General features: G+C 47.5%; 1 protein-coding gene across 7 annotated transcripts, besides 4 other annotated features; it reads left to right on the top strand.

The window, feature by feature from the left end:
• Positions 2,712-2,841: an enhancer, noted in NCBI's record as "active region_6519". NCBI's record gives its function as "activates an Ori minimal core promoter by ATAC-STARR-seq in GM12878 lymphoblastoid cells {active_cell/tissue: GM12878}" and the evidence as "EXISTENCE:reporter gene assay evidence [ECO:0000049][PMID:35858748]".
• NACA (nascent polypeptide associated complex subunit alpha) lies at positions 2,787-15,659 on the top strand. Of its 7 annotated transcripts, NM_001113203.3 has the most exons (11): positions 2,787-2,823; positions 3,563-3,634; positions 6,627-8,360; positions 8,490-8,549; positions 11,880-12,215; positions 13,399-13,484; positions 13,647-13,724; positions 14,403-14,549; positions 14,896-15,024; positions 15,178-15,300; positions 15,534-15,659. In NM_001113203.3, the coding sequence occupies exons 2-11, from the start codon at positions 3,565-3,567 to the stop codon at positions 15,546-15,548; spliced, it is 2,778 nt and encodes a 925-aa protein (NP_001106674.2). In that variant the 5' UTR covers positions 2,787-2,823; positions 3,563-3,564; the 3' UTR covers positions 15,549-15,659. The 7 variants fall into 7 exon arrangements, with proteins under 7 accessions (NP_001106674.2, NP_001352825.1, NP_001106673.1 ...); NM_001365896.1 differs by having other exon boundaries at positions 6,627-12,215; NM_001113202.2 differs by lacking the exons at positions 6,627-8,360; positions 8,490-8,549; positions 11,880-12,215.
• Positions 2,932-2,981: an enhancer, noted in NCBI's record as "active region_6518". NCBI's record gives its function as "activates an Ori minimal core promoter by ATAC-STARR-seq in GM12878 lymphoblastoid cells {active_cell/tissue: GM12878}" and the evidence as "EXISTENCE:reporter gene assay evidence [ECO:0000049][PMID:35858748]".
• Positions 4,041-4,160: an enhancer, noted in NCBI's record as "active region_6517". NCBI's record gives its function as "activates an Ori minimal core promoter by ATAC-STARR-seq in GM12878 lymphoblastoid cells {active_cell/tissue: GM12878}" and the evidence as "EXISTENCE:reporter gene assay evidence [ECO:0000049][PMID:35858748]".
• Positions 7,151-7,270: an enhancer, noted in NCBI's record as "active region_6516". NCBI's record gives its function as "activates an Ori minimal core promoter by ATAC-STARR-seq in GM12878 lymphoblastoid cells {active_cell/tissue: GM12878}" and the evidence as "EXISTENCE:reporter gene assay evidence [ECO:0000049][PMID:35858748]".

Here is a 21,475-nt window from a genome sequence, read left to right as displayed (position 1 = left end):
AAATCTTCCAGATCATGTATTTATTAGGTAGAAATTGATTATGTCTACAATTTAATAGTAACAAACTTTTTAAGTTTTATGTAAAGATTACATGGGATAATTTTATGAGATAGACTGTTTCTTTTTCCTTCCAATTAGAGTGTGAGTGTGTGTGTGTATATATACACACAGACTAATTTAATCTTCCAAACAATCCTATCAAGCAGCTACTATTTTTCCCATTTTACAGATCAGGAAACTGACATGAATATATATATAGGTTAATTGCCTAAACTGACCTAATAGATTTAGACAAAGGAGTCTTATTTCAGAGTCTGTCTTTAATGACTCCACAATATTGCCTCTCCTATTTGAGGAGGATTTCAGAATTTCCCATTCCTGGTAAACCCCACTATCTCACTTAATTTTAATTCACCAATCCTAATCCTCATTTCACTACGCTAAGGATTTCAGAAATGTTAAAGTAGCTTTCAAAGCATTTTAAATTTTCACTGCTTCCCTTAAAAGGCGGCCACACCAGGTATGGTGGCTCACACCTGTAATCCTAGCACTATGGGAGGCCGAAGCGGGTGGATTGCCTGAGCTCAGGAGTTCGAGACCAGCCTGGGCAACACGGTGAAACAGGAGAAGTTTTGTGGCAGGAGAATTGCCAGAATCCGGGAGGTGGAGGTTGCAGTAAGCTGAGATCGCGCCACTGCACTCCAGCCTGGGTGACAGCGAGACTCCGTCTCAAAAAAAAAAAAAAAAAAAAGGTGGCCACAGTCGTCTTAAAGCTATTAAATCAGGCCAGGCATAGTGGCTCACACCTGTAATCCCAGCACTTTGGGAGGCTGAGGCAGGCGGATAACCTACGGTCAGGAGTCCGGGCGGGGAGGCGGGTACCTATAATCCCAGCTACTCTGGAGGCTGAGACGAGAATCGCTTGAACCCGGGAGGCCGAGGTTGCAGTAAGCCGAGATCGCGCCACTGCACTCCAGCCTGGGCGACAGAGCGAGACTCCGCCTCAAAAAATAAATAAATGTTGACTGGTTTAGCTAATTCAGGTACAGCAAATATTTGTTGAGTTCTTTTGTAGGGCTGTGGGAAGATATGGGAGGCTTTTCATTAACACAACACTGATTTTACATTCTACTTTTCAAAAATACAGTTGTACAAAGCATGGTTTAAGGTGGGGTCCCAGACACCTAGAATAAATAAGCTTAGAATATCCAAGAAGTGCCAGGGGCGGTAGTTCACGCCTGTAATCCCAGCACTTTGGGAGGCCGAGGCAGGCGGATCACCTGAAGTCAGGAGGAGACCAGCCTGGCCAACATGGAGAAAGCCCGTCTCTACTAAAAATACAAAAAATAGACTGGCGTGGTGGCGCATGCCTGTAATCCCAGCTACCCGGGAGGCTGAGGCAGGAGAATCGCTTGACCCGGGAAGGGGAGGTTGCAGTGAGCCGAGATCGTGCCTTTGCACCCCAGCCTGGGCAATAAAAGTGAGACTGTCCCAAAAACAAAACAAACAGGCTGGGCATGGTGGCTCACGCCTGTAATCCCAGTAGTTTGGGAGGCCGAGGCAGGCGGATTACCTGAGGTCAGGAGTTCAAGACCAGCCTGGCCAACATGGTGAAACCCGTCTCTACTAAAAATAAAAAATTAGCCGGGGGTGGTGGCACACACCTGTAATCCCAGCTACTCGGGAGGCTGAGGCGGGACAACTGCTTGAGCCCTGGAGGCGGAGATTGCAGTGAGCCGAGATCGTGCCACTGCACTCTAGCCTGGCCGACAGAGCGACTCAAAAAAAAAAAAAAAAAAATCCAAGAAGTGCCCAAAATAGCAAGCAAAGGAATTGTATATGTGCCTATGTTCTTTTTTTCTGGGAAGGAGAATCTGCAGCTTTATAATTTCAACATCGGCTAAATTGTCGTGAACCTAAAACAATCAAAAGGGCCGGAATCTATTTAAAGAGTTTATTCAAGGGCAGTGTGAGGATGGACCAACCAGAAAACCTCCAAAGAATGGAGTCAGCCTTCAGAAGTAGAGAAGTTACGATTTCATTTATTTAGGGAGACAGAGGAGTTTTTAGCTGGATTACGTTATCCATACAAGGTTGGAACATAATTACAGAATTTGGTTACAAGAAGTGTTTTTTTTGGGGGGGGGGCGGGGGTACAGCTAACATTGTTTTACGAAGAGTTTAACACGCATGAGTTGCTGTCATCTGGTGACATCGTTTGAGTCTCTCTAGTCATTGAACAGAACAAGAAAAATCGAATTAAATTTATAATCTGAACTGAAGTTATATGTGACCCATCACATCTCTCAAGTTTTAAAATGGGTTTTTTTGTTGTTGTTGATGGGGGGGGAGAGGGTCCAGCAGCTTTTAAATGTTTTCACATCGTGTGTTCCAAAAATAACTGGTTAGCCTAAGTCACTTCCACCCTCCAATGTTGTGAATGCAGTCTCTAGCATTCGCTATTTAATGTCTTCTTCCTGCACTATTTGAGAAATCGCGAGGTCGACTTAATACCGCAGTCGCCACTTCGCGGACCGGAGGGCGGAGTCTGCTTAGTTCTGAGGACTGCGTGGGTCCGCGCAGAGAGCTCCTGCTAGGCCTGCGCGTCCCGTTCTAAATTCTTACCCTTTAGTCCTTGTCACCACCCCCGCCGTGGGAACGGCCTGACAGTCACTCGTCAAAGGAAGTGGCTGCCGGCAGCTCTTGACCCGGAATCGGATCCTAGTCCCACCCCCTCCGCTCCAGGCTTCCTTCTGCAACAGGCGTGGGTCACGCTCTCGCTCGGTCTTTCTGCCGCCATCTTGGTTCCGCGTTCCCTGCACAGTAAGTACTTTCTGTGCCGCTACTGTCTATCCGCAGCCATCCGCCTTTCTTTCGGGCTAAGCCGCCCCGGGGACTGAGAGTTAAGGAGAGTTGGAGGCTTTACTGGGCCACAGGGTTCCTACTCGCCCCTGGGCCTCCGGACAAAATGGGGTCTGCGGTTGGTGTCCTGGCAAAAGCAGGGTAGAAGGGCTGCGGGGCGGGCCCAGAATCCGAGCCTGCAGAGATGGGAGCAGTTGCAGTGTTGAGGGCGGAAGAGGAGTGCGTCTTGTTTTGGGAACTGCTTCACAGGATCCAGAAAAGGGTAAGGGGTCACAGCCTTAGAACCTGTAACACCGTTCTCCCTGTGACAAGCAAGTGTTGGACTTAAAACACCGTCTTTCCCCTCCTGGTACCCCAAAGTCGGCAAACGTAGTCCAGGAGGCCCCAGCCCAGCCAGTGTGAGTATTAGGAGTGGAGGGGGTTCACAGTAGCGTCTGAAGTCTCCCATGATCGAGAGCCAGCCCGGGATCCTCTCCCTCGGGTTGAGAATGCAGTGGGAATTGCTGGCCTTGATAGAGGCGTGAGGGTCACATCATATTTACCTCTTATTCCCAGGTGCTTTGGGGAAGGTTGTCACCAAACACCCTCACGATTTTTTTCTAACAGCCCTCCTCGGAGTTTTTAAGAATACTTATCTCCGGGTTGGGCAAGTGAATGTATCCCAATCAATTTAGGCCTCCTTTTTATTCCCTTCCTTCAGAAATGCCCGGCGAAGCCACAGAAACCGTCCCTGCTACAGAGCAGGAGTTGCCGCAGCCCCAGGCTGAGACAGGTAGGTTTCCCTACCCTCCTTGCCATTAATTAAAATTAACCCTAAAGCCATTTGGTGGGCAAAATGACCAAGGGGAAATACACTTTTTAGGAGGATGGGGTTGCAGCTTTACCAAGGAGGATAGACCGTAAAATTACTATCCTGGAGATACTTCTTTAGGGATTTGGAGTAAAAATAATATTTTTAAGATTCGTGGACGTTAAAAGTACCCTAGCTTGCTTTCTATGTTATGCCTGTCGCCTCAAAAGAAGCTCTCCTGTGGAACCCCCACCTCACATAGGAAAACTCAGCAGGGAATGGGCTCAGTGATTCTTACCTATTGGAACTAGATGACACAGGCCAAGGAGCCCGGAGCATTTGTGAAACTCCAGCCAGCAAGTTGCATCAAGGTTTTAGTTAGCAGAGCTTGGCATTGTGCCTTTATCACATGTCTGGATGAGATGTGTGCTGGTGGTAAATGTGTCCTACTGGGCCCCAGAGTCGTCCTAGGTCGGATAACTTGTTTATGGGTTGGTGGTGCTGAGATACTTCTAGTGTGCTGGAATAGTTCCTGCATCATTGTGTGAAACCCAGGATTGAAATAAATCCTTTTATCCTCAGCGTCGAAATTAACGACTGTGAAGGCTAATTTTAAATTCTGGTTAAAACATATCTCTGTAGAAAACTTAGGAGGAGGTAATGAAAAGTTCTTAAAATGATAGCCTTTCTGAGTCAGTTGTGCAGCGTTAAATGAAGGAAATCTTCAGGCTGTAATTTTCATTCTCACCTTTTTGGTTTTTTTTAAATTTCATTTGTTATTTAAGGGCAATTCCTGTCCCTTTTTGGAGTTACAGTAGAGTTGCTTATAGTTGAAAGCATAAAGTTTCTTCCCACCTGTTTGATTTTAACAGCTGAAGGGATTAATACAGCTGCTAGGAAGGACAATAGGGGGCTCTAAGCTGGAGTATAAACAATATGAAATTCTTGAAGTACAAGGGGCTTAAGGAAGGGAAAAAATAAAGTACTGTTCTCTAAAGATTCTGTAATTTCAGTACAAAACGAGATTTTAGAGATTGTGTCATTGAACAACTTAATTTTACAAATACGAAGATTTGAAATTCAGATGAATTTAGAATAATCTGATTCAAGCTTCAAAACTAATGCATTTACTTCTGAAACAGTCCTTAATGCTATTAAACGTATTCCTGAATAGTCTGAGTTGCATAGTAGGCTTATATTAAGGAAGTACCAATGATAAATACACAAGGTTTTATCTGTAATGATAGTCTATTAGAATGAAGAAGGAAGCTCAAGGAATTGTTGATGGTGTCAAAGCAAGTATTTGAGTGCTTATTCCATTTGAGGTCCAGTCAGAAGAAAACATATTCCATGTTTTTAATTCTGATTCATTATGTTTGGTAGCGTTTTCCTGTAATCGTTAGACTTTGGCCTACCCACTCTCCAGGAAAAACTAGTTGAGCCACCTTGTCTTTTCCATGGTAGGATGCCATAAGAACTTCAGAATTACTGGTTGAGTGAATTTTGAATTTGAATTTTGGTACCACGGGCTTCCCCCCCGCCCCCCTTAACATTCCCTTCTAAGCATTGAGCATTTGTTGATCCAATTCTGTGTTACCTCCTGAATGCCAGAGATACTGTCTTACTGTCATGCCAAACATTGGTGTATTTTGACATAATGAAACACTTAAATTCCAAGTTAAGGAGTGGGGATCCAGTGTATTCTCGCCACTCCAATTGTCTTCTTTGGTTTGTTTTGTTTTGAGACGGAGTCTCACCCTGTCACCCAGGCTGGAGTGCATGCAGTAGCGCGATCTTGGCTCACTGCAACCTCCACCTCCTGGGTTCAAGCCATTCTCCTGCCTCTGCCTCCTGAGTAGCTGGTATTACAGGTGTACACCACCACGCCCAGCTAATTTTTGTATTTTTAGTAGAGACGGGGTTTCACCATGTTGGTCAGGTCGGTCTGGAACTCCTGACCTCGTGATCCGCCCTCCCAGGCATCCCGAAGTGCTGGGATTACAGGCATGAGCCACTGTTACAGGCTCTCCAATTCTCTTCTTCCAAAATAGCACCACAATCTGGTTTAACAAGTTAGGTTACAGTTTCATAATACAGTCCCTACCCTTGTGAGTAAGCTCTCTGCCTGGAGGTCTAATTCATGTCTAATTCATCTTGGATTGATGTCTGAAGAATTAACATCACCTAGGAAGGTTTATAGAGACTATTACAGTCCTTTTGTGGTTGGTTTTCTTGTTTGGGTTTTGTGAGTAAGTAAACTGGTAAGGTATAAAGAAGCTAAGTGACTTTAATACTTGATATTAAATTCTGAAGTGTTTCAACTTTAGGAAGAACTGAATTGTGCTGTGCACCTCCTTCCCAAAACTATTCTAACAGAGTCAGATGTTTCCTAGCCTAGTGGAAGCCTGAAAGTATAAAAGCCTGTGTTTTCTTATTCAGTTCAGATTCCCCATCATCGTCACTGCTCACTAACTTCTTTGTTCCAGTTTTCAGTATCTTTTCTGTTCATGATATTTGGGTGGACAGAGTAGCACAGCTGTTCTTCTCGTGGGAATTCTGTTGGCTGTGAGAAAGACTTGGGAATACAGTCCATTTCAAGAAGTAAGGGGAGGGCACAACTGGGAAAGGATAGAAAGCATGTTGTTCTCAACCTACCAAGAGTCTGTGCTCCCCATTTAGAGATAGGCTGCTCTTAGACTGTTCTCCTCACCCTAAAATAGTTGGTTTACTTTGGTAGAACTTGGGGAAGTGTGAGAAATTAGGAGGGGAATGTCTTCTCACTTGACCACTGAAAAATGTTTGGGGAAGGTTGTTGTTGCCTGTCACCTTTATCTAATCCTGCGTGGTGACTTAGACTGTCAGATTTTAAACTCCAGTGTTTCCTAGGAGGCATGTTGTACCAAGTTGGGCTGCATAACTCACCTTTTTTCTCCTCCCCCTCCCCCTTTCTTTATCTCCTTTTGCCTTTCTCCAGCTGTGCTACCTATGTCTTCAGCCTTGAGTGTCACTGCTGCCTTAGGGCAGCCTGGACCTACCCTCCCCCCTCCTTGCTCTCCTGCCCCACAACAGTGCCCTCTCTCAGCTGCTAACCAGGCTTCCCCATTCCCTTCCCCCTCTACTATTGCCTCGACCCCTTTAGAAGTTCCTTTTCCCCAGTCATCCTCTGGAACAGCCCTACCTTTGGGAACTGCCCCTGAAGCCCCAACCTTCCTACCAAACCTAATAGGGCCTCCCATCTCCCCAGCTGCCTTAGCTCTAGCCTCTCCCATGATAGCTCCAACTCTGAAAGGGACCCCTTCCTCTTCAGCTCCCTTAGCTCTGGTTGCCCTGGCTCCCCACTCAGTTCAGAAGAGTTCTGCTTTTCCACCTAACCTTCTTACTTCACCTCCTTCAGTGGCTGTAGCTGAGTCAGGGTCAGTGATAACTCTGTCAGCTCCCATTGCTCCCTCAGAACCAAAGACTAATCTTAATAAAGTTCCCTCTGAGGTAGTCCCTAATCCAAAAGGCACCCCCAGCCCTCCATGTATAGTCAGTACTGTTCCTTACCACTGTGTGACTCCCATGGCCTCTATTCAATCTGGAGTGGCCTCCCTTCCTCAGACAACACCCACAACTACCCTAGCCATCGCTTCCCCTCAAGTCAAAGATACCACCATTTCCTCAGTTCTGATTTCTCCACAAAACCCAGGAAGCCTCAGCCTGAAGGGGCCTGTTAGTCCACCTGCTGCCTTATCTCTTTCAACTCAGTCTCTTCCTGTGGTGACCTCTTCTCAAAAGACTGCGGGTCCCAACACCCCCCCAGATTTTCCCATTTCTCTGGGCTCTCATCTTGCACCTTTACATCAGAGTTCTTTTGGTTCTGTCCAACTTTTAGGTCAAACAGGTCCTAGTGCTTTGTCAGACCCTACAGTGAAGACCATTTCTGTAGATCATTCTTCCACAGGGGCCTCTTATCCTTCTCAGAGATCTGTAATTCCTCCCCTTCCTTCCAGAAATGAGGTAGTTCCTGCTACTGTGGCTGCCTTTCCAGTGGTGGCTCCATCTGTTGACAAAGGTCCCTCTACCATCTCTAGCATAACCTGCAGCCCTTCTGGCTCCTTAAATGTAGCTACCTCTTTTTCATTATCTCCTACAACCTCTCTCATTCTCAAAAGCTCTCCTAATGCCACTTATCATTATCCTTTAGTGGCCCAAATGCCCGTTTCTTCTGTTGGAACCACCCCACTTGTGGTGACTAACCCCTGTACAATTGCTGCAGCACCTACTACTACCTTTGAGGTAGCTACTTGTGTTTCTCCTCCAATGTCATCAGGTCCCATAAGTAACATAGAACCAACTTCCCCTGCTGCCTTGGTTATGGCACCTGTGGCTCCCAAAGAGCCTTCTACTCAAGTAGCAACCACTCTGAGGATACCAGTCTCTCCTCCTCTGCCAGACCCTGAAGACCTCAAAAATCTCCCCAGTTCAGTATTGGTTAAATTTCCAACACAAAAAGACCTCCAAACTGTACCTGCCTCTCTTGAAGGAGCCCCTTTCTCTCCAGCCCAAGCAGGACTCACCACCAAGAAAGACCCTACTGTATTACCGTTAGTCCAGGCAGCCCCTAAAAATTCCCCTTCTTTCCAAAGTACATCCTCTTCTCCAGAGATACCTCTTTCTCCTGAAGCCACCCTAGCAAAGAAAAGCCTTGGGGAGCCTCTCCCTATAGGTAAGCCAGCCAGCAGTATGACCTCCCCTCTGGGTGTTAACTCCTCGGCCTCTGTAATCAAGACAGATTCTTATGCAGGCCCAGACTCTGCTGGTCCGCTTCTCAAAAGTTCTCTCATTACCCCAACAGTGGCTGCATTTCCTTTGGAAAGTGCTGACCCTGCCGGGGTGGCTCCCACAACTGCCAAAGGTACCTCAACTTATACAACTACAGCCAGCCCTTTTCTAGAAGGAACTGTCTCTTTAGCTCCTAAAAACCACCCAGTTAAGGAAGGTACTCTTACTACTTTACCCTTGGTTCCTACAGCTTCAGAAAATTGCCCTGTGGCTCCATCCCCCCAGAATACCTGTGCTCCTCTGGCTACCTTAGTGCTGGCCCCTGAAATCCCAAAGTCTGTGCCCTCACCCTCTCTTCCCCCAGCTGGGACTCCTCCAGGTACAAAAAAGGTTGATGGTATTTCTCATACTTCAGCATTGGCACCTGTTGCTTCCTCTCCCAAAGAGTGCCCAACTGAGGACTCTGGTGCTTCTGCTACTGCATCTTCCAAAGGAACTCTGACTTACCTAGCTGATTCCCCATCTCCTTTAGGGGTTAGTGTGTCTCCTCAGACTAAAAGACCTCCAACCAAGAAGGGTTCTGCTGGCCCTGATACTCCTATTGGAAATCTCTCATCCCCTGTTTCTCCAGTTGAAGCTTCATTTCTTCCAGAGAATAGTCTTTCTTTCCAAGGCTCTAAAGACTCACCAGCCACGACGCATTCTCCCACTCCTCCATCCCCCAAAGGGGCCCCTACTCCCTCAGCTGTGACTCCTCTGTCTCCCAAAGGAGTAACACTACCCCCCAAAGAGACCCCCACTCCTTCAGTGGTGAATCTGCCCTTCCCCAAAGAGGGTCCAGCTACTCCAGCACCCAAACAGGCTCCTGCTCTATCCATGACTTCTTCCTCCCCCAAAAAGGCCCGAGCAACTCCAGCCCCTAAAGGAATCCCAGCTTCCCCATCCCCCAAAGGGGCCCCCACACCCCCAGCTGCAACTCCTCCCTCCCCTAAAGGAGGCCCAGCTACCCCATCCCCGAAATGGGCCCCCACACCCCCAGCTGCAACTCCTCCCTCCCCAAAAGGAGGTCCAGCTACTCCATCCCCCAAAGGGGCCCCCACACCCCCAGCTGCAACTCCTCCCTCCCCCAAAGGAGGTCCAGCTACTCCATCCCCCAAAGGGGCCCCCACACCCCCAGCTGTGACTCCTCCCTCCCCCAAAGGAAGTCCAGCAGCTACCCCATTCCCCAAAGGGGCATCCACACCCCCAGCTGCAACTCCTCCCTCCCCCAAAGGAAGTCCAGCAGCTACCCCACTCCCCAAAGGGGCCCCCACAACCCCAGCTGCAACTCTTCCCTCCCCAAAAGGAGGTCCAGCTACCCCATCCCTCAAGGGGGCCCCCACTCCCCCAGCTGCGACTCCTCCCTCCCCAAAAGGAGGCCCAGCTACCCCATCCCCCAAAGGGGCCCCCATGCCCCCAGCTGCAACTCCTCCCTCCCCAAAAGGAGGTCTAGCTACCCCACCCCACAAAGGGGCACCCACAACCCCAGCTGCAACTCCTCCCTCCCCAAAAGGAGGTCTAGCTACCCCACCCCCAAAAGGGGCCCCCACAACCCCAGCTGCAACTCCTCCTTCCCCAAAAGGAGGTCTAGCTACCCCACCCCCAAAAGGGGCCCCCACAACCCCAGCTGCAACTCCTCCTTCCCCAAAAGGAGGTCTAGCTACCCCATCCCCCAAAGGGGCCCCCACAACCCCAGCTGCAACTCCTCCCTCCCCAAAAGGAGGTCTAGCTACCCCATCCCCCAAAGGGGCCCCCACAACCCCAGCTGCAACTCCTCCCTCCCCAAAAGGAGGTCTGGCTACCCCATCCCCCAAAGGGGCCCCCACAACCCCAGCTGCAACTCCTCCCTCCCCAAAAGGAGGCCCAGCTACCCCACCCCCCAAAGGGGCCCCCACTCCCCCAGCTGCAACTCCTCCCTCCCTAAAAGGAGGTCTAGCTACCCCACCCCACAAAGGGGCCCCCAATCCCGCAGTTGTAACTCCTCCCTCTCCAAAAGGAGGCCCAGCTACCTCACCCCCCAAAGGGGCCCCCACTCCTCCAGCTGCAACTCCTCCCTCCCCAAAAGGAAGCCCAGGTACCCCACCCCCCAAAGGGGCCCCCACTCCCCCAGCTGTAACTCCTCCCTCCCCTAAAGGGACCCCTACTCTCCCAGCTACAACTCCCTCCTCTAAAGGAGGCCCAACTACTCCATCCTCCAAAGAGGGCCCCACTCCCCCAGCTGCAACCCCCTCCCACAAAGGAGGTCCCGCTATGACTCCTCCCTCCCCCAAAAGAGGACCAGCTATCCCATCTCCCAAAGGGGACCCCACTTCCCCAGCAGTGATTCCTCTCTCCCCCAAAAAGGCTCCAGCAACTCCAGTCACCAGAGAAGGCGCAGCCACCCCATCCAAAGGAGATCTCACTCCCCCAGCAGTGACTCCTGTCTCCCTCAAAAAGGCCCCAGCAACTTCAGCCCCCAAAGGAGGCCCAGCTACCCCATCCTCCAAAGGGGATCCCACCCTCCCAGCAGTGACTCCTCCTTCCCCCAAGGAGCCCCCAGCCCCCAAACAAGTTGCCACTTCTTCCTCTCCCAAAAAGGCCCCAGCAACTCCAGCCCCCATGGGGGCCCCCACTCTGCCAGCTGTGATTCCTTCTTCCCCCAAAGAGGTCCCAGCTACCCCATCCTCCAGAAGGGACCCCATTGCCCCAACAGCGACTCTTCTCTCTAAAAAGACCCCAGCAACTCTAGCCCCCAAAGAGGCCCTCATTCCCCCAGCTATGACTGTTCCCTCCCCTAAAAAGACCCCAGCAATTCCAACCCCCAAAGAAGCCCCAGCTACCCCATCCTCCAAAGAGGCCTCCAGTCCCCCAGCAGTGACTCCTTCCACTTACAAAGGGGCCCCATCCCCCAAAGAGCTCCTCATTCCACCAGCTGTGACTTCTCCTTCCCCCAAAGAGGCACCTACTCCTCCAGCTGTGACTCCTCCATCCCCCGAAAAGGGCCCAGCAACTCCAGCCCCCAAAGGGACTCCCACTTCCCCACCTGTGACTCCTTCCTCCCTCAAAGACTCCCCTACTTCCCCAGCTTCTGTCACATGTAAAATGGGGGCCACTGTTCCTCAAGCATCTAAAGGGCTTCCAGCAAAGAAAGGCCCCACAGCTCTGAAAGAAGTACTTGTTGCCCCAGCTCCAGAAAGCACGCCAATCATCACAGCTCCCACTCGGAAAGGTCCACAGACCAAAAAGAGTTCTGCTACTTCACCTCCTATATGCCCAGATCCCTCAGCTAAGAATGGTTCTAAAGGACCCCTTTCCACAGTGGCTCCAGCCCCTCTACTCCCTGTTCAGAAAGACTCTTCAAAGACAGCAAAAGGCAAAGATGCTTCTCATTCCCCAAAGGGCCCCTTGGCTCCTCCTGAGTCTAAGGCGTCCACCCCTCTAACAGCAGCTGCCTTTGAGAAGGTCCTTCCTAAACCTGAATCAGCATCTGTCTCTGCAGCACCCTCCCCACCAGTCTCTCTGCCTCTTGCTCCCTCCCCAGTTCCCACTCTGCCTCCTAAACAGCAATTTCTGCCGTCCTCTCCTGGGCTGGTGTTGGAATCACCCTCTAAACCCCTTGCCCCTGCTGATGAGGATGAGCTGCTGCCTCTGATTCCCCCGGAACCAATCTCTGGGGGAGTGCCTTTCCAGTCGGTCCTCGTCAACATGCCCACCCCTAAATCTGCTGGAATCCCTGTCCCAACCCCCTCTGCCAAGCAACCTGTTACGAAGAACAACAAGGGTATTTGCCTTGGTTTGCCGTGTGCATGGTGTGTCTGTCGTCCACACCCCTCTTGGGCGCTACCCACCAATACTAACCCTGTGATGCGCCGCTTTCTCCAGTGAATCTGCTTGGGTTTGGATGTAGAACATAGAATGATAATTTTAAATGCAAAAGTTCTAGGAATATGAAACCAAATCTTGGTTTTCATTACTTCAGATAGATACATAGTACATTGTGTATCATTTTTGTGTAATGTGGCCCGGACTACCCTGAGCCTGCCATGCCATCTATTTTACCTAATTGATCTGACATTGAAAACCAAGACCTGCCAGACCTTTTCATTTGCTCTAATCCCTACCACATCACTAACTAACCTTGTCCCTGGGCCTGAGATTTGGTAAAATTATTGGAGAATTGAACTATTTGTATTTATTTTTCCATTATTAGACTTAGTAATGACCAGTTGCCCAGGGACTCCCTTTTCATAAAAATGTAGAAATCTGTTTTTCCTAGCCTGAAAATGGTGCAGGTGTATGCTTTTTTTCCTCAGTAGTCTTTACTGATGCTTGGCCTTTGAATTGAAAGAAATTTATGTGAATTATGTTTGGAAAAACTAGAGATATAGGTCATCATCATTGAGAATCTTCTAATTATATTGATTAGATCACATTGCTGGGGTGAATGGTTTGAAAATGAGGCTGAATATGTGTACGTGTCTGCTTTTGACTTCCTCCAACCCAGTTTAAAAGTTGAGGGGAAAACCACCCAACCTGTTGTGCCTCCACGGTGTGATTTTGGTTTTTTCACTTAAGTGTATCTGGGGGCACCTTCTGACAGAACTTTACAGGGATAATTGGACTATTGGGTAAAATTTTAGAGTCATATGGGTCATTATTTGCCTGTGCCAAGAAACAAAGACCTTGAGGGAAAGAAAGCAGTTACAGTATATTAAACTGCTCAGCTATTTCTAGTGATTAGTCCTCATTTCTGGGGTTAGGGCTGGGTCTTTACTAGATGTGTACCCGCTAGTTAGTGACTAAGTTAGGGGCTATCAAGCTGACTTCACACAAGCCAGTTGGTTTACATTTAACATTCTTAGGTCTAGCATGAGGCATTCACCTCTAGTCCAGGGCAGGCTGTGGTGAAGTACCTTCTCTTATAATTTCTACTATAAAGCAGTAAAAGTTGTTTCTCATCTTAGGGTCTGGAACAGAATCTGACAGTGATGAATCAGTACCAGAGCTTGAAGAACAGGATTCCACCCAGGCAACCACACAACAAGCCCAGGTGGGTATTCTCTTACTAACTGGTATTGGGTCAAAGAAGCAGGGTTGATCAGGGCAACTTTTGTATTTGGAACTGTGAACCTTCATAAAGGAAAACCCACAAGGAGATTGTGCTATCCAGATCTTAGATTCTGGTTAACTAATAGCTGTTTTATCTTCTTAGCTGGCGGCAGCAGCTGAAATTGATGAAGAACCAGTCAGTAAAGCAAAACAGAGTCGGAGTGAAAAGAAGGCACGGAAGGTAAGATTTGAAAAGGATTTCAGGATCTTATGAAGCACCTTTATACAGAGTGGAACTGTTTATTTCCATAGGTTTTTGGGGAACAGGTGGTATTTTGGTTATACAAGTAAGTTCTCTAGTGGTGATTTTTGAGATTTTGGTGCACCTGTCACCCAAGCAGTATACACTGAACCCAATTCTTAGTAGTGGTAGAATCCCGTTGAAAGTAACAGAAGTAGCTAGGTTGGTGGCTCACACCTGTTATCCCAGCACACTGGAAGGCCAAGGCAGATGGATCACTTGAGGTCAGGAGTTCAAGACCAGCCTGGCCAACATGGCGAAACCCCATCTCTACTAAAAATACCAAAAATATATAGCAGGGCATGGTGGTAACGCTCCTGTAATCCCAGCTACTAAGGTGGCTGAGGCACGGCAATTGCTTGAACCTGGGAGACGGACATTACATTGAGCCGAGATTGCACCACTGCACTCCAGCCTGGGCGACAGAGCAAGACCTGCCTCCAAAAAATAAAAAATAAAGTAACAGAAGTTACTACGGCAGAAAACCCATTCTCTATTCTTGTATGAACTTTTCTCAGCCTGGGGAAAGGCTTTGCTTTGGATGTTGTATTATGTTCCTTGCTTCTTTAGGCTGCTTCTAAAGAGGTTGAAAACCTGATACTATTTTCTCTTCTTTAGGCTATGTCCAAACTGGGTCTTCGGCAGGTTACAGGAGTTACTAGAGTCACTATCCGGAAATCTAAGAATATCCTCTTTGTCATCACAAAACCAGATGTCTACAAGAGCCCTGCTTCAGATACTTACATAGTTTTTGGGGAAGCCAAGGTGAGTAAACTTTTCTTGGGCATTGTTCCAGACCAGGGTTTCTCAACCTCAGCACTGCTGACATTTTGCGTCAGATAGTTCTCTGTTATGGAAGGGCTATCCATTACATCCAGTTTTGATTACCCAAAAACTCCATTGCCATATATCTCCTGGGAGACCTAACTACCCCCTAGTTGAGAACCACTGCTCTAAACCTAAACAACTACTCTTTCTACTGTGAGGGCAAGCAGTTTAAAGCTGTACAATAAGTTACCTGAATGGGTTTACAGAGAGTTGTGAAACTATATGATTTATTTTTCAAAGACTGCTAATCTACTCACATGGATCTGTATTTTCTACCCTGTAGATCGAAGATTTATCCCAGCAAGCACAACTAGCAGCTGCTGAGAAATTCAAAGTTCAAGGTGAAGCTGTCTCAAACATTCAAGAAAACACACAGACTCCAACTGTACAAGAGGAGAGTGAAGAGGAAGAGGTATACTAGGAAATCTTTCATAATTTAACTCTCGCCGTATAGCATTGTGTTCGTGTTGGTGAGCTATATTAAAAACTAGATTCAGGAGACTCCAAAGAACTGCTGAAATTGTTCTTGCCTTTAATTTACTGCTTTTTCCCTCTCATCTCTCAGGTCGATGAAACAGGTGTAGAAGTTAAGGACATTGAATTGGTCATGTCACAAGCAAATGTGTCGAGAGCAAAGGCAGTCCGAGCCCTGAAGAACAACAGTAATGATATTGTAAATGCGATTATGGTAAGTGTTCAAGCCTTTGTTCCTTGACTCCCTCTGCCCTGACCAATTATGAGTGACTTTATTTTGTCTTGCTAAATATCAGCCAATTAAGGAACCTCATTCCAGAGCCTCTTCTGAGTTGCCGTATAGGTTTTAGTGGCCTAAATTCTCCTGATTTGCCTGTAAGAGTTTTAGTGACCTGAATTCTCCTGATTTGCCTATAAGAACCGCTAATTATCTTTTCTCTGTTACAGGAATTAACAATGTAACCATATGGAAGCAACTTTTTTTGGTGTCTCAAAGGAGTAACTGCAGCTTGGTTTGAAATTTGTACTGTTTCTATCATAAATAAAGTTATGGCTTCTTGTTGGATGAATTCAGTCGGTGACTGGTCTCTTCCCCGCCACCCCCCCACACCAAAAAAAAAAAAAACTTAAAAAGGTTCTAGTAATTTATTAATTACTCCTAAGGCCTCCCTCATTTGATAAGGTTTAGTGCCACAGATTTCCCACTTAGAATCTCAGACTTTATACCTCTTTTAAGAAGTTACTGGCCAGGCGTGGTGGCTCACGCCTGTAATCCTGGCACTTTGGGAGGCCAAGGAGGGGGCAGATCACGAGGTCAGGAGATTGAGACCATCCTGGCTAACACGTTGAAACCCCGTCTCCACTAAAAATACAAAAAATTAGCCGGGCGTGGTGGCGGGCACCTGTAGTCCCAGCTGCTTGGGAGGCTGAGGCAGGAGAATGGTGTGAACCTGGGAGGCAGAGCTTGCAGTGAGCCCAGATCACGCCACTGCACTCCAGCCTGGGCGACAGACAGAGCAAGACTCCATCTCAAAAAAAAAAAAAAAAAAAAAAAAGTTACTATACTAGGCTGTTAGGACCTTCTTAACTTAAGGAAATACAACTTGACTATAAAGTTTCTCATTTCTGACCAGGCGCGACGGCTCACACCTGTAATCCCAACACTTTGGGAGGCCAAGGCAGGTGGATCTCTTTAGCCCAGGAATTTGACACCAGCCTGGGAAACATGGCAAAACCCCGCCTCTACAAAAAATAGGATCACTGAGTAATCCCTGAGATCACACCACTGCACTCCAGCCTGGGCGACAGAGTGAGACACTGTCTCAAAAAAATAGTTTCTCATTTCCACTTTCTTTCCCAGATGTTAACTGTTAGCAGATCCCGATTCTTCTGTATCTAGTAATCAGCCCCTTCACTGAACTCCAATCTTTCTGAATGCACACTGGGGCTTTTGTGGCCTCTGAGGAGTTTACATTGGTTACATATCGACATGTAAGAGCTTGGTACAGGGTTGAAGAGAAAGTTGGAGGTACATGAAAAAGCTACCTCCTGAAGGGGAAGATTTTGAGTATATTGTAAACTTTCTGCTCTTAAGCATATTCTCTACAGACATTTTAATCTACAAAGTAGCTTCTGATTAGGACAGCCATAATTACATATTAGGACAATAAATGAAAACTAGGACTCTCCCAGGCTAACTAAAACATAACAGTTAGTTTACAGATAGCTACATAGGAATTCCAAGAAAAACTCAGTTTGGGTTGTCAGAGAATGGTTTGGAGGAAATCAAAGGGCTACAATTTAGAAATGGGAAAGTTACAAGTAAATGTAGAGGCAAGAATCCTGAAATGAACATGTGAAAATACACCTAGAAGGAATATGTTAGAATGGGAATAAATGTGGCTAACATCTAAAACTGGGCTTTAGAACTAAAGGAGTTAAGACATTTTTATAGAATTCAGTCTTTTGGTCTCCATAAAAAATGAGGCCGGCCGGGTACAGTGGCTCACACCTGTAATCCCACCAACTTGGGAGGCTGAGGCAGGCAGGGCAGGCGGGTCACAAGGTCAGGAGATCCAAACCATTCTGGCTAACACAGTGAAACCCCATCTCTACTAAAAATAACAACAAAAAAAAGGGCAGCGCGGTGGCTCATGCCTGTAATCCCAGCAGTTTGGGAGGCCGAGGCGGGTGGATCACGAGGTCAGGGGTTTGAGACCAGCCTGACCAACATGGTGAAACCCCGTCTCTACTAAAAACAGAAAAATTAGCTGGGCGTGGTGGCGGGCGCCTATAATCCCAGCTACTCAGGAGGCTAAGGCAGGAGAATTGCTTGAACCCGGGAGGCAGAGGTTGCAGTGAGTCAAGATCGCGCCACTACACTCCAGCCTGGGCGACAGCGAGACTCCGTCTCAAAAAAAAAAAAAAAAATACAAAAAAAATTAGCTGGGCATGGTGGCATGCGTCTGTAGTCCCAGCTACTCGGGAGGCTGAGGCAGGAGAATCGCTTGAACCCAGGAGGTAGAGGTTGCAGTGAGCCGAGATGGCACCATTGCACTCCAGCCTAGGTGACAAAGCAAGACTCCCATCTCAAAAAAAAAAAAAAAAAACAGAGGCCAAGGAGGGTGGCTTCTGCCTGAAATCCCAACACTTTGGGAGTACAGGCAGGAAGATCCTTTGAGCCCACGAGTTCAAAACCAGCTTGGGCAACATACAGAGACCTTGCCTCTACAAAAACTAAAAATACTAGCTAGGTGTGATATTGTGCACTTTGGTTCCAGCTACTAAGGAGGCTGAGGTGGGAGGATCACTTGAGCCTGCTCCCTTGACCCTGCTCCCTTGACCCTCGGTGGTCAGGGCTACAGTGAGCCATGATCGCGCCACTACATTCCAACCTGGGCCACAAGATGCCATCTCAAAAAAAAAAAGAAAAAAAAAGGCATTATTTTAGTAGATGTGAGTGAAAGCTGAGGACTAAGGAGTTTATGACTTTCTCAAAGCCACTAAAAACAGCAGGGCCTTTTGTTTCCCCCAGCTAGGAAGTAGTAGGCTGTACTGTGGGAGCACAAATAGAAATCTGAAGATTGGCTCAGAATGAAGACCTTTCATCTCATTTCAAAACAGTTGATTATTTGATGAACAAAATCTCATGAGAAAAAAGGCGCCTAACAGCCAATCTGAGTCAATCCAATAATTATTTCAGGAAGAAATTTAGATACTCATTCCCAATTTTTTTAAAAACAACTATCTTGTTCAAGACCCTTTTTGCATCACTGCAGTAGTGTTCACTACTTCCCACCTCAAGAATCTCACAACATCAGTTCCCCCTTTTCTTCTGCTATTAATTCCTACCTCTCAGTCTTTCTTATTTATTTAATTTTTTGAGATGCAGACTTGCTCTGTCGCTCAGGCTGGAATGCAGTGGCACAATCTCAGCTCACTGCCACGTCTACCTCCCAGGTTCAAGCAATTCTGCCTCAGCCTCCCAAGTAGCTGAGATTAGAGGCCCACACCACACGCCCAGCAAATTTTTGTATTTTTAATAGAGACAAGGCTTCACCATGTTGTCCAGGCTGGTCTCAAACTCCTGACCTCAAATGATCCTCCTGCCTCGACCTCCCAAAGTGCTGAGATTATAGGCCTGAGCTACCGCAACGGGCCTTCCTCTCAGTCTTTTGCTTCACCACAATTGAAATGCAGATAACTTCCTCTATTACTAGAATGATTAAATTTTTGGTTCTTGGAGTCAAGCAGAGTGGCTCATGCCTGGCTAAGAGTTCAAAACGACCCTGGCCGACATGACGAAACCAAGAAATACAAAAATTAGCTGAACATGTTGGCGCACACCTGTAGTCCCAGCTACTTGGGAGGCTGAGGCACAAGAATTGCTTGAACCTGGGAGGCGGAGGTTACAGTGAGCCAAGATCACACCACTGCACTGTAGCCTGGGTGACAGAAAAAATAAAAAACTATTAGATGACACCAAAAGCAAGAAAACAAGCAACAAAAGAAAAAAAGATAAATTGGACTTCATCAAAATTTAAAACTTGTGTATTAAAGAACAAAACAGTAAGAAAGACAGCCCATGGAATTAGAGGAAATATTTGCAAATGATGTATCTGATAAGGGGATAATATCCAGACTATATAAAGAACTCCTACAACTCAACAAAAACTCTGATTCAAAATGTGAAAGGGCCATGAAGACATTTATCCAAAGAAGATAGATAAATGTCCAATAGCACATGAAAAGGTGCTAGGGCCGGGCGCAGTGGCTCACACCTGTAATTTCAGCACTTTGGGAGGCTGAGGCAGGCGGATCATCTGAGGTCAGGAGTTCGAGAACAACCTGACCAACATGGAGAAACCCCATCTCTACTAAAAATACAAAATTAGCCGGGCATGGTGGCCTATGCCTATAATCCCAGCTACTCAGGAGGCTGAGGCAGGAGAATGGCTTGAACCTGGGAGGCAGAGGTTGCAGTGAGCCGAGATCACACCATTGCACTCCAGCCAGGGCAACAAGAGCAAAACTCCATCTCAAAAAAAGGAGAAAAGGCCAGGCACGGTGGCTCATGCCTATAATCCCAGCACTTTGGGAGGCCAAGGTGGGCGGAGCACCTGAGGTTGGGAGTTCGAGACCAGCCTGACCAACATGGAGAAAGCCCATCTCTACTAAAAATAAAAAATTAGCTGGGTGTGGTGGCGCATGTCTGTAATCCCAGCTACCAGGGAGGCTGTGGCAGGAGAATCGCTTGAACCCAGGAAGTGGAGGTTGTGATGAGTCGAGATCGCACCATTGCACTCCAGCCTGGGCAACGAGAGCGAAACTGCACCTCAAAAAAAAAAAAGAAAGAAAAAAATGTAATTAAAACAAAAAATGAGATGTCACCTCAACCCATTAGGCTGACTACTTATCAAAAAAAAAAAGTGTTAGCAAGGATGTGAAGAAATTGGAACACTTGTGCACTGTTGGTGGGAATGTTAAATGGTGCAGCCACTATGGAATGGTATGGCAGATCCTCAAAAAATTAAAAATAGATTTACCATATGATCCCGCAATTCCACTTCTGGTTTTAAACCCAAAAGAATTACAATCAGGGACTCAGTGTTACAACCATACTCATAACAGCATTATTCACAATAGACAAAGGCAGCAGAAACCCAAGTGTCCATCAACAGTTGAATGGTTAAATAAGATGTGGTATATAGCAACAGGAGAATATTATTCGGCCGGGCGCAGTGGCTCATGCCTGTAATCCCAGCACTTTGGGAAGCCAGGATCGCTTGGCCTGGGAGTATAAAGGATCGTTTGAGCTCAGGACTTTTGAGACTAGCCTGGGCAAAATGGCGAATCTCAGCACTTTGGGAGGCCGAGGCGGGCAGATCGCCTGAGGTCAGGAGTTCGAGACCTGCCTGGCCAACGTAGTGACACCCCTTCTCTACTAAAAATACAACAATTAGCCAAGTGTGGTGGCACATGCCTGTAGTCCCAGCTACTCAGGAGTCTGAGGTAGTAGAATCACTTGAACCTGGGAGGCAGAGGTTGCAGTGAGCCAAGATCACACCACTGTACTACTCACTCCAGCCAGGGAGACAGAGTTAGACTCCATCCCCCCCCCAAAAAAAAAAAAGGCAAAACACTGTCTCTACAAAAAAAACCACACACGCCAGGCACTGGGGCTCACGCCTATAATCCCAGCACTTTGGGAGACCAAGGCGGATGGATCACCTGAGGTCAGGAGTTCAAGACCAGCCTGGCCAACACGATGAAACCCTGGTCACTACTAAAAATACAAAAATGAGCCAGGCATGGTTGTGGACGTCTATAATCCCGCTACTTGGGAAGCTGAGGCAGAAGAATCACTTAAACCCAGGAGGCAGAGGTTGCAGTGAGCCAAGATCATACCATTGCACTCCAGCCTGGGCAATAAGAGCGAAACTCCATCTAAAACACACACACACACACACACACACACACACACACACACACACACAAAATTACAAAATTAGCCAGGCATGGTGGGACGTCCCAGCTACTAGGGAGGCGGAGGTGGGAGGATCCCTTGACCCTGGGAGGCAGAGGTTGTAGTGAGCCATGATCACACCACTACACTCCACCCTGGGTGACAAAGTGAGATCCTGTGTCAAAAAAATATATAAGACTGGGCATGGTGGCTCACGCCTGTAATCCCAACACTCTGGCAGGCCGAGGCAGGCAGATCACCTGAGGTCAGGAATTCAAGACCAGCCTGGCCAACATGGTGAAACCCTGTCTCTACAAAAATACAGAACAAAATTAGCCAGGTGGCTGAGGCACAAGAATCACTTCAACCTGGGAGGTGGAGGTTGCAGTGAGCTGACACAGCACCACTGCACTCCAGCCTGGGC

This window comes from Homo sapiens, chromosome 12 (assembly GCF_000001405.40).
Source record: "Homo sapiens chromosome 12, GRCh38.p14 Primary Assembly".
NCBI classification, from domain to species: Eukaryota; Metazoa; Chordata; class Mammalia; order Primates; family Hominidae; genus Homo; species Homo sapiens.
Note: the sequence above shows the minus strand (reverse complement) of the source record. Positions and strands in the feature narration are given on the sequence as shown.